At 44.2% G+C, this 15,081-nt stretch overlaps 1 pseudogene, besides 1 other annotated feature; it reads left to right on the forward strand.

The window, feature by feature from the left end:
• Positions 7,505–7,554: a silencer, noted in NCBI's record as "silent region_4719". NCBI's record gives its function as "represses an Ori minimal core promoter by ATAC-STARR-seq in GM12878 lymphoblastoid cells {active_cell/tissue: GM12878}" and the evidence as "EXISTENCE:reporter gene assay evidence [ECO:0000049][PMID:35858748]".
• Positions 12,990–15,042, forward strand: RCOR2P1 (RCOR2 pseudogene 1; annotated as a pseudogene).

Genomic DNA, 15,081 nt, shown 5'->3' on the forward strand with positions numbered 1-15,081 from the left:
TTTAAACTGTTATTAAATAACACTTTACCATGCCATATTTTAAAAATTATTTTGTAGCTGTATTTCAACATAGTTTACAGCTTTTGTAATTCTATTTATTATATTTTTATGCATTTTAAAACATTCTGAGGAAAGTCCATAGATTTCACCACACTGTCAAAGGGGTTCATGCCCCCCGCTGCCATGTTAAGTATGCCTTAGGAGACTCTCAGTATTGACCCACTGCAAGCACAGTTTCCATGCAGTGAAGGGCTCGAAAATGATCCATTTAGTGCATTTCACTGTGCCTTTCATACAGTTTTAGTTACCTCTTTTCCAATAACACATCTTATCAAAAACCTCAAATGCAGTACAATTGTAAAATATGGAATCGTTTGATCTTCAAATCGCTGGTTAAAACTGCATCAGCTTTCAGCTATTCAAGAGCTGACTATCTAAGCTGTGAATTATCAAGGTCCCCTTTTCTCCCTGGTTTCCTCTTTGGCTGTTTACCATGTGGTTCTTTTACTACTGGGTCACAGGTGCACCAACAGATAGGCAGGGCTCCCCGAGGAAATGACATTCAAATCTGACAATTTTCCTACATCACTAAGAAGTTGTGGACCGGTGGAGGTTGAAAGTGTTGATTAAATTAAGGCTTGGAATTACCTGTGGATTTTAATTACCATTCTACCACTGTCCCAGTGTCCTCTGTCTCCCCACCGCCACGCTCTCCTGTAGCTCTAATGAGACACTTATCAGATGCTATTTTTGTTTGTTAGTTATCTTTGCTCTGCATACGGTCTTCCCACAGAAACTGTGTTCTCCTTCTCTTGTGTTGCCCCTGGTGCTTGGCAGACAATAGATCCCCCATAAATAGGTGTGGCTGAACTGAATCACTGTCTATGGTACATACCCAGTGGTCCTTCATGGTTGAAGATGTCAGTGCTAACATGATGATTTTCTATATTGGATTTCTTACGTCTATTTGGATTTTATTACGCAACATTTCTTCTACAAATGCTGAACACTATGTACCAGGCATCATACTAGATATTAGAGACAAAGATGAATATAATATGAACTTCCTTCAAGGAGTTCTGAGGTCACAGGGACACTAGACAAATACATATCGCGATGGAGTGTAACAAGAGCAAGTGTAGGCATATGGACTAGGTATGTCGGTGACACCCAGAAAGGGCTGGTCATTTCTGGAGAATGAAAATGAGAGTCAGAGAAGATGCTGGAGTGGGAACCCAAAGCATGGGTTGGATTTAGGCAATGGCAAGAGGGACGGGGAGAATTCCAGCATCAGAGAACTGTGACTCTTTTAGGATGTAACAATACACAAGCATTCTTTACGTACCGGACACTCATTTCTTCCCTGCTAAGAGAACCTAGTTGTGTATCTGGGATAATCTTAAGGAAGGTAAGTTCCTCCTCCAGACTTGGGCTTATGAGCCAATCATGAGCCAATTATGGTCATTCTTTTTCTCTTCACCAGACATTGGTATAGTGTGGGCATGTGACCACATTCTGGTCAATGACGTCTAAGGGGGAAGTCTGCTCAGGGATTTCTGTTTGGGCAAAAAAAAAAGACAGAGTCTTGCTAGGAGAAAGTAGCCTTCCCCTCGTTTTGAAAACAAATACAATGTTTACAGTTGTGGCAGTTATCTTGTGACAGGAGAAAGATATTAAAAGCCTGGAGGGGCTCTTTAATAGTAACACTGAATAGCAACCAGTACTAGCAACTGGGCTCCTTCTTGTGCAAGAAAAGATTAACCTCTACTTGCCTATGTTCTAAGTAATTAGGGGTTTTTTCCCCTTATAGCTAAACACATCACAACCGATGTATACAGCTTCTGAAAACTATTTTGCACAGGTCTCCCCAGTGGGTATCAATGGGGTCACAACTAATACCCCCTGAGTTTTTCTGCCTGATTATCCCTAACTTGTATAACTCTAGGACTCAACCTCTTCCTCCTTCAATCTCTCCAGTCATTTTGGGGAGTCCCCAGGGGAATATCTTTGAGAATGTAGCTTCTTCCCTGATTCTCTCTATCCTCCCTTTGATGCAAGGAGAGTAAGAAAGCCCTTCTCTCTGACTCTGTGTTTCACTCTGCCACTAGACCCGAAGGTGAATGGGTCTAGCTCCATTCATGGAATGGGACCCCAAGATAAATGCCCTGAATGTCATCAACTTTTGGTCAGCGTATACCTTCTAGCTGCTGACTACCCCTGCTCTCTATTAAGGAATGTCTGAGGAATAGTAAGCATACTAATTTCATCTACTTTCCTTTGTGTCTTTCCATAGAAGGCTAGCATCAACCTCTTCCTTTAGACAGACCAAAACAGCAACAATCATCTGCAGGCTTATCAGCCTGTGCCAATAGATCCCCAGAGTTCAGATTAGCTGGCCCCAAGGAGCTACTCTTCATCTAGCTCAGCCCAGAGCCCAGTCACATGTGCACATGAAGGAATGGAAGACACAATATTGCAAAAATGGTCAGGCAGGGACCTTATATATCAAGCTAAGAAATATAAGCTGTATCCTCTAAGTCAGGGCTTCCCAATAAGTGTTCCATAGAGTGTTGAGATACTACCCTGCCCTCTCAGCCCTTGGGACTGCTGGGTGGAACCTGACAGAGGGAGCTCCTAGGCTGGTCACCTCTGGCAGCCAGTGCCCTTGTTTGGTGTAGGAAGGTATTGCCAAGAAGAGTGGGGCCCAATGAAGCCATGGTATAAAACAATTGGGAAACAATGGGGAGTCATTGAAGGATTTTTAACAGGAAGTAATCCCATCAGCTTTCCATATCGGAAGACAATGAAAGGGCAATGCAAAGGCTGGGTTGGAGGAGGTGGGCAATGAACCTGGGACCAGGACCACCAGTCTCACCTAAAATAGCCTAGTGATGAAATGATGAGAGGGCAAGCTAAGGAGTAGGAAAGAGAGAGGAGGGAGGATCTGGGAAATAAGAAATCTTTTTTTTTTAATTATACTTTAAGTTCTAGGGTACATGTGCACAACATGTAGGTTTGTTACATATGTATACATGTGCCATGTTGGTGTGCTGCACCCGTTAACTCGTCATTTACATTAGGTATATCTCCTAATGCTATCCCTCCTCCCTCCCCAACCCCACGACAGGCCCCGGTGTGTGATGTTCCCCACCCTGTGTCCAAGTGTTCTCATTGTTCAATTCCCACCTATGAGTGAGAACATACAATGTTTGGTTTTCTGTCCTTGTGATAGTTTGCTGAGAATGATGGTTTCCAGCTTCATCCATGTCCCTACAACTCATCCTTTTTTATGGCTTCATCCATGTCCATGAACTCATCCTTTTTATGGCTGCATAATATTCCATGATGTATATGTCCCACATTTTCTTAATCCAGTCTATCATTGATGGACATTTGGGTTGGTTCCAAGTCTTTGCTATTGTGAATAGTGCCGCAATATACATATGTGTGCATGTGTCTTTATAGCAGCATGATTTATAATCCTTTGGGTATATGCCTAGTAATGGGATGCTGGGTCAAATGGTATTTCTAGTTCTAGATCCTTGAGGGATCGCCACACTGTCTTCCACAATGGTTAAACTAGTTTACAGTCCCACCAACAGTGTAAAAGCATTCCTGTTTCTCCACATCCTCTCCAGCACCTGTTGTTTCCTGACTTTTTAATGGTCACCATTCTAACTGTTGTGAGATGGTATCTCATTGTGGTTTTGATTTGCATTTCTGTGATGGCCAGTGATGATGAGCATTTCTTTCTTGTGTCTGTTGGCTGCATAAATGTCTTCTTTTGTGAAGTGTCTGTTCATATCCTTTGCCCAATTTTTGATGGGGTTGTTTGATGGGATTTTTTCTTGTAAATTTGTTTAAGTTCTTTGTAGATTCTGGATATTAGCACTTTGTCAGATGGGTAGATTGCAAAAATATTCTCCCATTCTGTAGGTTGCCTGTTCACTCTGATGGTAGTTTCTTTTGCTGTGCAGAAGCTCTTTAGTTTAATTAGATCCCATTTGTCTATTTGGCTTTTGTTGCCATTGCTTTTGGTGTTTTATTCATGAAGTCCTTGCCCATGCCTATGTCCTGAATGGTATTGCCTAGGTTTTCTTCTATGGTTTTTATGGTTTTAGGTCTAACATATAAGTCTTTAATCCATCTTGAATTAATTTTTGTATAAGATGTAAGGAAGGGATCCAGTTTCAGCTTTCTACATATGGCTAGTCAGTTTTCCCAGCACCATTTATTAAATAGGGAATCCTTTCCCCATTTCTTGTTTTTGTCAGGTTTGTCTAAGATCAGATGGTTATAGATGTGTGCTATTATTTCTGGGGGCTCTAATCTGTTCCATTGGTCTATATCTCTGTTTTGGTACCAGTACCATGCTGTTTTGGTTACTGTAGCCTTGTAGTATAGTTTGAAGTAGTATAGTAGTGTGATGCCTCCAGCTTTCTTCTTTTGGCTTAGGATTGTCTTGGCAATGCGGGCTCTTTTTTGGTTCCATATGAACTTTAAAGTATTTTTTTCCAATTCTGTGAAGAAAGTCATTGGTAGCTTGATGGGGATGGCATTGAATCTATAAATTACCTTGGGCAGTATGGCCATTTTCACAATATTGATTCTTCCTATCCATGAGCATGGAATGTTCTTCCATTTGTTTGTGTCCTCTTTTATCTCGTTGAGCAGTGGTTTGTAGTTCTCCTTGAAGAGGTCCTTCACATCCCTTGTAAGTCAGATTCCTAGGTATTTTATTCTCTTTGAAGCAATTGTGAATGGGAGTTCACTCATGATTTGGCTCTCTGTTTGTCTGTTATTGGTGTATAGGAATGCTTGTGATTTTTGCACATTGATTTTGTATCCTGAGACTGCTGAAATTGCTTATCAGCTTAAGAAGATTTGGGGCTGAGATTATGGGGTTTTCTAAATATACAATCATGTCATCTGCAAACAGGAACAATTTGACTTCCTCCTTTCCTAATTGAATACCCTTTATTTCTTTCTCTTGCCTGATTGCCCTGGCCAGAATTTCCAACACTATGTTGAATAGGAGTGGTGAGAGAGGGCATCTCTGTCTTGTGCCAGTTTTCAAAGGGAATGCTTCCAGTTTTTGCCCATTCTGTATTATATTGGCTGTGGGTTTGTCATAAATAGCTCTTATTATTTTGAGATACGTCCCATCAATACCTAGTTTATTGAGAGTTTTTAGCATGAAGGGCAGTTGAATTTATCGAAGGCCTTTTCTGCATCTGTTGAGATAATCATGTGGTTTTTGTCTTTGGTTCTGCTTATATGACGGGTTACATTTATTGATTTGCATATGTTGAACCAGCCTTGCATCCCAGGGATGAAGCCAACTTGATCGTGGTGGATAAGCTTTTTGGTGTGCTGCTGGATTCAGTTTGCCAGTATTTTATTGAGGATTTTTGCATCAATGTTCATCAGGGATATTGGTCTAAAATTCTCTTTTTTTGTTGTGTCTTTACCAGGCTTTGGTATCAGGATGATGTTGGCCTCATAAAATGAGTTAGGGAGGATTCCCTCTTTTTCTATTGATTGGAATAGTTTCAGAAGGAATGGTACCAGCTCCTCTTTGTACCTCTGGTACAATTCGGCTGTGAATCTGTCTGGTCCTGGACTTTTTTTGGTTGGTAGACTATTAATTATTGCCTCAATTTCAGAACCTGTTATTGGTCTATTCAGAGATTCAACTTCTTCCTGGTTTAGTCTTGGGAGGGTGTAGGTGTCCAGGAATTTATCCATTTCTTCTAGATTTTCTAGTTTTTTTTTTGTATAGAGGTGTTTATAGTATTCTCTGATGGTAGTTGGTAGGAAATAAGAAATCTTATAACAAGAAATCAAGCCCATGATTCAGATCAGCAGGCTTGCTGGTTGATTAAATATAGAAGGTGAGGGAAGTATCTAGGATGACTTCCACCTTCTGGTTTGAAAACCTGGATGGGCAGTGGTGCCACCGAAGGAGACTAGGAACATGTGGAGAAAAGGTATGGAAGAAAATTGACTTGACTTGAAGTATGTATGGAATGTACAAGGGAAATGACCAGTAGGCATTTAGACATGTAGATCTAAAATTCAGGGCCTAAAGTTCAGAGATCAAGAGATCACTTTTGTGTAGATTTTTTAGAGTCATCAGCAGGTAAGTAATGATGGAAGCCCGTGGTGTGCATTGGTGATACTGACCAGGGAGAATACTACAGGAATGAGAGGATGCCAAAGACAGAAGAAGGGATTGATGTCAAAGGACCAAGAGTGAGCTGAGGACTCAGTTCTAGAGAGCCTCAACAGTCAGTCTCTCTCTCTCTCTGTGTCTCTATCTGTCTCTCTCTCTCTCTCTCTCTCTCTCATATCTCTCTCTCTCTCTCTCATATCTCTCTCTCTCTCTCTCATCACTATCTCTATCTCTTTCTCTATCTAGCTCTCTCTCCTACTTCATACTGGACTTTTCTGCTAGGCAGAGAGCAAAGTCACTGCTAGCCCCAGATTAGCCACCCCCATAAAAAATCTCTTTTCTCCCACCATCCCTATAACAATTCCTGGAAAGAACTCTGGTTGACTTTGCTAGAATCACATGACCCATGCTTAGACCAAACCTAAGGAGCACTTGGGTTGGCCAGACCCATGTCATATGCCCCCATATTGTTGGAAGGAGGGTACAGCCTCTTTATGAGAAGAACAGGGATGGTAAAACTTTCTGGGCAGATAAAAATAGTTATCAGGTCACCTACACATCAACACTTTAAAAGGTAGGAGGAGAAAGTGGAGCCAGTAAAGGAGACAGAAAGTTGGTATGTCAGAGTAGATTAACAGTTTTTCAGAGGCCAAGATCTTTGTCTTATCCTTATCTGTGTCCTTCATCCCCCCCATCTAGTATCTAGCCTTGTGCCTATAATCAACAAGTGTGTATGGAATGAATTCATAGACACTACACATGATAAGTAATGGGGATTTGTAAAAGACATGACAAAGACCAACACTCAGGAATCTAATTTGGGCAATACACAAAAGCACATTTTTTAAGTAGCTGGCCACCACTGACATAGATAATAATAGAGTCTCTAAAAAGAGCCAAACTTTTTCATGATTTGGATAAAGGCACCATATCCGTTTAAACCAAAACAGTCACAGATGAGGATTTGATTTGGGGAGTGTCTTATGGAAATTAGATGGTGTTGTTTTAAAGAGTGTTCATTTTATTTCTCTGTTCTAGGGCTGACTGTAATTTCATGCTGCATTTGCAAGCCTGCAGGCAGACACCTTAATTACTATGGATGCCAGATAGAAAGAGGAGTGCTAATCAAACCTTTATTAATTGGTGACATACTTCCAACTTTCAGAAACAGATGCTAGGGAGGAATGAATCCTTGTAAACCACAGTACCCACCAACTCCCCTCAGGTGTGGATTTTTTTTTTTCTTAAATCAAGTACCTTTTACATCCACTAGGGGGAATCCTAGCGCGCTTCAAAGTCTGCCTTTTTCTATGCTTAGAATGACATACCCATGAAAACTTGCTTGTCTATTGATGGGTGTGTCCTCTACTCTGGAGAAGCTCCGAGATCTGGCATGTTGTCATATTTTTCAAACAGAAGAGAAAATATCATTCAAGATATGTTAAAGAAAATAAATTGCTCAAATTCTCACTGGAAGAAATCCATCTTAGAGAAAATTTTCCGTGTAAACAGAAGTTTCTACCAGGAAAAAGAGGGTAATTATTTGTCAGAATCTTTACTTACCAAAAAATAGAAAACACTAAATATGTGCCTTTGCAATTTTAGAGAGCTTAATTTTAAATACCTGTTAGGCACTAGTGCGATCTTTATGCTCAGTGGAGTTCTTAAAGTATTATTGGCACTCGGTTGATAATTATTATAATTATTATAAGCTTGCCTTACATAATTACAGTATAAGACTCTCCCCTTTTCAGTATAAAGCCATGTTCAAACAAAGTTTGAAAGGTGCTGTAAATTAACAAATAATTTAAAAGCTATGTTCAGTGGATGCTCCTCCATGTTATCAATAATATTTTTTGTGGCAAGGAGTTGTTTTTCTCCTTTTATATTCTCTGTCTCTGCAGAGATAGTCAATTCATGAATTGGTAAATATGCACTGTGGAGATGCCAAGTTATGTCATTGTATGTGGGGCTGTGGGTACCTCAAAGAATGACCCTTGCCCCTAAGGAGTATAGAGCCTTTACATTACACTTCAACTGACATTTATTGAACACTGACTCCGTGTAAGGCCCAGTAATCTGCACAAAAATAACACCACTGATCTTGCTCATTGCCATAACCCCAGCCTGCAACACATGCCTAGCACATGGTAGATTCTCAGGAAGTATCTGTTAAAAGATGGAGTAAGTTAATGAACAGAAAGTTTGAGGAATAAAGGGAATATGGAGATAAACTGAATTTAAGACACCATCTCTGATCTCAAAGAAATTATATTAAGTGAAAGAGCTATAAACACAACCAATGCATAGTGTATGATGTGACTCACCAGATTTTAATGCTATCAACCTACAGATAAAGTGCTCTTCAAGTTCAGAGCAGGGAATTCATAACCAAAGGGAGGAATTGGCCCCGTTAAACAAATTCAACAGGTAAGTTTAGTTACACTGCTAGAACAGAGCCTGGCATGAAGGAGACACACTTCACTATTTTGTAATAAATGAATGGGTACTTACTGTATACAAGGCCTAGTTCCTGGGGGCACAAAGATGAGACAGCACTTAGTTTCTAGTTTTCTTTATTTTTTAAATGGGAGTTTATAGTTTAGTAGAGGCACTCTAGTACAATTTCAAGGAAGACTCCCAGGAGAAAGTAGCTTTTACACTGGACCTTAGTGGATAAGTGAGAGCTCACAAAGCTGAGAAGATGGAAAGGGTGTTTTAGGTGAAATGTACAGCAAATGCAAGGACACAGGGGCTTGAAAGAGCCTGACTCATTTAAAGAAGCATGAAAATCCCACTGCTAACAACAGGAGACAGTACCAAGGATATTCCTAGCTCTTAGCATAAGGCCCTACGTATGAAAGTCCCCTAATAAATACTTGTTGTTTTTTAACAATAATGATGGTAAGAGTCCAAAGATGAGCACAAGTTTTAAGTGCTGGACAAGTATGAAGCTGAAAGAGTTATCTGGGCTGGTAGGATCTGGGGCCAGTTTATGGGCAACATCTTTGGACTTTGTGTGCTGAGGCCACAGAACCCTCCATACAGCAGGAAGGCCCTTTCCCACCAGCCTGTTACCATGGCCTGTTTTGTTTCATCTACACAGTCTATTTAACAACAAAACCAGAGAAAAGTGCTCACAGTCACTACCTATTTCTTTGAGGTCCCTCTTTATTTTTTTCTGAGATGGAGTCTCACTCTCTCGCTCTGTCGCCCAGGCTGGAGTGCAGTGGCATAATCTCAGCTCACTACAACCTCCACATCCTGGGTTCAAGCAATTCTCCTGCCTCAGCCTCCTGAGTAGCTGGGACTACAGGTGCGTGCCACCATGCCCAGCTAATTTTTGTATTTTTAGTAGAGACGGGGGTTTCACCATGTTGGCCAGGCTGGTCTTGAACTTCTGATCTCAAGTGATCTACCTGCCTTGGCCTCCCAACGTGCTGGGATTACAGGCGTGAGCCACCGTGCCCAGCCGAGGCCCCTCTTTTCATGCCTTCATGCTAACTGCACCCCTCCTACAGGCCCTTGAGTGCCACTTCTGTGAGTCTCTCCTCAACTAGGTAAAATGTGGTTCCATTAATCATATTTTGTCTTTTGGGTTTTAGTTTTGTCACTCTCATTCACATACAACCAGCAATGTTTTTTGAATACCCTTTCATTCGCAATCAAATGATCTCATAATCCTAATACTGTTAACAACACATAGCCTGTTCACAGAGGCTGAAGGTCTAGCTGAAAAGATAGGACTTGTACCTTAAAAGATAAATAATACTGCTACCTAAAAAGATTAATAATACTACTGCCATTAGCATTCTTTGCTTTGTACTGTATCTATGACCCTTAATCAAATTTCACACACACATCCACACACATCCTTATAGTTCACAGCATTCATGGGGTACACATTCAATGGGCAGCAAATAGCATTTAGTAATAAAGCTTTAGTAATGCTTGCCTATTCTCAAAGTCTGGTTTTTTCGATGGTAAATTTCTTAAAGCAGTATACCCCAAAATTTAATATTTAATAAAGATTCTTCCCTTGCTTAAAAGGACTACTCCCAAGCACAGGGGCAGCTTTGCCATCTGCCATCCTGCTTCATATGTTCTATTTGCTTGTAACATTTATACCAACTTGTTTTCCTGATCACTTTCTCACCTCTTTGTAAGTACCTGCCACTGAATCTGCTGCTCTCCCTGGCTTTCTTGCATTTCTTGAAAACCCTTCCACTCCCTCCTCCTGTTGTTACTTTTCTGACCTATTCTTTATGCCATTTGGAAATCACAGATCTGTGTATCTTCTTCTTCTTCTTTTTTTTTTTTTTTAAGACAGTCTCACTCTGTCACCCAGGCTGGAGTGCGGTGGTATGATCTCAGCTCACTGCAACCTCTGCTTCCCAGGTTCAAGCAATTCTCCTGCCTCAGCCTCCCGAGTAGCTGGGATTACAGGCGCCCACCACCACGCCTGACTAATTTTTGTATTTTTAGTAGAGATGGGGTTTCACAATGTTGGCCAGGCTGGTCTGGAACTCCTGACCTCAGGTGATCTGCCCACCTTGGCCTCCCAAAGTGCTGGGATTACAGGCGTGAGCCACCACACCTGGGCATGTATCTTCTTGATATCCCGAGATGACTCTGAGCCGCTCATCCACCAATTACAAATGTAGACTTGATTGCAGATGTTGCCATTCCCCTGTTCCTGCTGGTTCTGATGTACCTAACACCCACATCCACTCTTAACACTAGTGGCATCCCCTCTTAACCTTCATGAAACTCAAGCCAGTAGGACCAAGAGGTAGGTAAATGAATTGTGAACATAAGGGGGTTGGCAGGATAGTGCAACAGGTGAGAAATGAAAAGGCAGAGACATCCAGTGAGAACACAGCAATGGGAAGTGAGGAAAACCTTTATGGAGGAAGAGACTATGAGAACAGAGTGTTTGCTCTGCTGTGGCTGGCTGGCCACCAGCCACCACTGCAACAGAACAACCAGGGAGGGTAACAGATTAAGTGTTATCAGCCACTAATATCATATGGTGAGAATCCATCAGCAAACCTGATGTAGAAGCCATGGACTTGGCCAGAAGAAGGGGTTCAAGGCCCTTACCGTACTGTGGGACCTTGGCTTGTCATTAAGCTCTCTGCACTTTAGTTTGCTTATCTGCAAAATGATGTGATAATACTTTTGAGGTTATTGGAAAAACTAAATGAAGAAACAGAAGTAAATCGGCTCAGTACTGAGCGGAAACATGTGCCCAAGAAATGCCAGTTAAAATGTTTTCCTAAGGATAGGGTTTGAGATGGAAAATAGGTGTGTTACAGGCTGAATTGTCACCGTCTCCCCAATTCATACGTTGAAGTCCTATCCCCCAGTAGCTTCGGATGTAACTATATTTAGAGGTAGGGTCTTTAAAGAAGTAAAATGAAGTCATTAGGGTGGACACTAATCTAATCTGACTGGTGTTCTTATAAGAGGAAATTTGGACACAGATATGTACAGAGGAAGGATCATGTGAAGATACCAAGAGAAGATGACCATCTACAAGCCAAGGAGAGAGGCCTCAGAAGAAACCAACCCTGCCAAAACCTTGATCTTGGACTTCCAGCATCCAGATCTGTGAGGAAATACACTGCCACCCAGTCTGTGATACTTTGTTATGGCAGTCCTAGCAAACTCCTAATACTAATAGTGCTCCTAACACAGCACTAGAGTCCTGATAATAATAATGGTAATCATAATAATAACGTTTTTTATTTATGGAGCGACTTCCTGTGTGCCAGGCATTGTGCTAAATGCTTTACACATATTATCTCATTTAATACGCATGAAAATCCCATGTGATGGATGCAATTTTTCCAACCCACGATGAGGATGCTGAGGGTCAGAGAGCCCAAGCCTACGTAGTTATTGAGTGGTGGGACTGGGTCTGGAACCTAGGCCTGACTGGGATCACTGCTGGCCTACAGTGTCTTTGTACAAAGAAAAAGGTGCCACTTCCTTTGGGAACACCCAGCCCCAAGCCAGGGTGCAAGGTTTGGTAAACAGAAGACAGGCTGGGTTTTAATTCCTCTTTCCTCCTTGGCTGGGTGCCCTTGTGCAAACCTAAGCCTCTCAGGGTGGCCCACACTGAGGCCCAAGCTCTTAATCATTACACCGGACTGCTCAGTGGGCCAGGGTGGCTGGGGGTAACACCATTGCCACCGTCGAGGTAGGATCAGTTGGGCACGTAAGGGACTGTGAGTGCTGGCAAGGCAAACCTTACCTCCCTCATGGCTGGGAATGAGATACGTGGGAGCCCAGGTCCATGAGTTCTGGGACCCATGTGGGTGGGCTTCCAACGGTCCTACAGGACAACGACAAATGGCCCTTGACTTAGGGCAATTCTGCTTATTTCTAATTGGCCCCAGAACAGTTCTGTGTCCAGTCCTCAGTCAGCAAGAAATCCAGTTTGCCAGGATCGTGCCCCTAGGATTACACAGCTGTCCTTTCGCCATTATCCCCATGCCTCCTCCTCCTCCCACCAAATCAAAGAGAATGAGAAATGCATCTTCGACCATTTGGCTATAACTATAAGTGTGCCTGTCCTCACAATTAAAGCTCCTGAAAGTTCCAAATTTGCTGCTTTCACGGTGGGAAAAAAAGGCCTCCGACAGCGTAAATATTTAATCACCATTAAGAATGTCCAATAAATGAGGGGAATCAGGTTTCAAATTGACTGGTTCAGATGATTAAAGTACAGAAGTCATAGCAGGGTAAAAATAAAGTACCCTCTAAAAAAGTAGCATCTTGTGGGCAGGGGCAAGATGGAAGATAGCACGTTGGGACCTCTCAAGGCCGGGCCGGGCACTGCACTCTCCAGGCAGGGCCGGGCGAGTGCGGCAACCACCGTCACTCTCCAAAGGCTTCCGTGCCCCCTGGGGCAGCTGAGCGGGGTAATGCCCTCCGTGATGGAGAGCGCGTGTCCCACAGCCGGGCCAAGACGGTGCCCAACCGCAGATAGCCCCACTCTGAGGATGACAGCAGCGAGGAGGAGCACTCGCACGACAGCATGGTCCGCGTTGGAACCAATTACCAGGCCATAATTCCGGAGTGCAAGCCTGAGAGCCTCGCACGCTACAGCAACAAGAAGCTGAAGGGGGTGCTGGTGTGGTCACCCAACCACTGTGTGTCAGATGCCAAACTTGACAAGTATATTGTGATGGCCACGGAGAAGCATGGCTACAACATTGAGCAGACGCTGGGCATGCTCTGGAATAAGCACCATGTGGAGAAGTCGCTGGCTGACCTGGCCAACTTCACCCCATTCCCTGAGGAGTGGACAGTAGAGGACAAGGTGCTGTTGGAACAGGCCTTTGGCTTCCACGACAAGTGTGGATCCAACAGACGCTGCCCGACAAGTTGATTTCCAGCCTGGTGAAATATCACTACTCTTGGAAGAAAACCCACAGCCGAACTAGCATGACGGACAGACAGGCCCGGCGGCTGAGGGGCTGCAAGGACAAAGAAGACAGTGATGAGTTCGAAGAGAGTCGAGGAGGCCTGAGTGAAGGAGAGCCCGATGCTGGACACCCGAAGAGAGAGGTACAGAGCATAAAGCAGAGGAACAGCAGCCTGCGCCAAGCCCTGGAGGGCGCCATTGATCCACTCCGCGCTCTGGAGGCCAACACTAAGTTCAACTCCTGCTGGACCACAGAGGAGCAGCTTTTGGCTGCCTAAGCCATCCGGAGGTATGGCAGACTTTGGGGCTATTGCAGAGGTGATTGGGAACAAGACTCTGACCCAGGTGAAGACCTTCTTTGTGAGCTATTGGCACTGCTTCAATCTGGAGGAGGTGCTGCAGGAATGGGAGGCTGAGCAGGATGGGGCCCGTGGAGCCACAGTCCCCGTGGAGGAGGCTAGGAGAGGGGCTCCCTTGCTAGCCCCAGCCCAAGAAGAAGATCATGAGGTCCAGATTACATCGATCTCCATGTCTGTGTCCCGATCGGTGCCCCCCTGCACCACCCCCGTTCCACCTCCCACCTCCCTGCCCTAGGTGCCCCCTGCTGCTGAGGCCACCTTTGCCCACGGCTCCCACTCTGCTCTGACAGCCACCCACAGTGCAGCAGGGCCGCTTCCTCCAGCCCTGGTTGGCCCCCAACCAGCGCCCACCACCTCTCATCCTCCCCGCTCTGGCTGCCTGTCCTGGCCCTCCGCCCCTACCCACCCTGATTGGAGCCCCCAGTGCCCTCACTCTGAATCCTGAGGTCCTCCACCAACCACAGGCTCCAGGACCTCTTTGCTGGCCATCCCCAGGCATCTCTGGTGTCACTGAGGACGGAAGGGGCTAGGGCTCTTGCCAGGTCTTTCCAAGACCCAGAGCTGCCGACAGCCCAGCCTGGACCTGTGGGTTCTGCATGTGTTCCTGGCAGCTGGGCCTGTCTCTTGGGGCCATGGCCCGGGCTCAGGGGCCTTTGAGCTGGACTGAGGGCACTTTCGCTTCCTTGCTGGGACTGGAATGGCTGCCTCCTAGTTGGCTGGGGCTTGGTCTCTGGGCCCTGCCCTTTGTGTGTCGGGGGTAGGGACCTTAGCGTGGGGGTGGGACAGGACAGTTGGGTGTGCTGGCTGTTCTCATTCCTCTTCCCTTCTTTTAGCAATCAGTCTTGGGTGAGGTGGGAAGGGAGGCTGCAGGGGGAGGTGGCAGAGGGGCCTTACAGCAGCAGAGGCTGGAAGGGAAGTTCTGTCTTCAGGGGCCAGCTGGGAAACACTAAGGAGCTGAGGGTGCCCACCAGGCCCACCTTCCAGAAGCTTGGAGAAATGTGGGTTGGGAACTTATGCAGACATGGATTTACTTTTCAACATGTTTTAAAAGTTAAAAAAGAAAAACCTTCTAAAAAAAAAAGTAGCATCTTTAGAGGGTTCCTGTCTCTACT

Source organism: Homo sapiens, chromosome 12 (assembly GCF_000001405.40).
Source record: "Homo sapiens chromosome 12, GRCh38.p14 Primary Assembly".
Classification (NCBI taxonomy): Eukaryota; Metazoa; Chordata; class Mammalia; order Primates; family Hominidae; genus Homo; species Homo sapiens.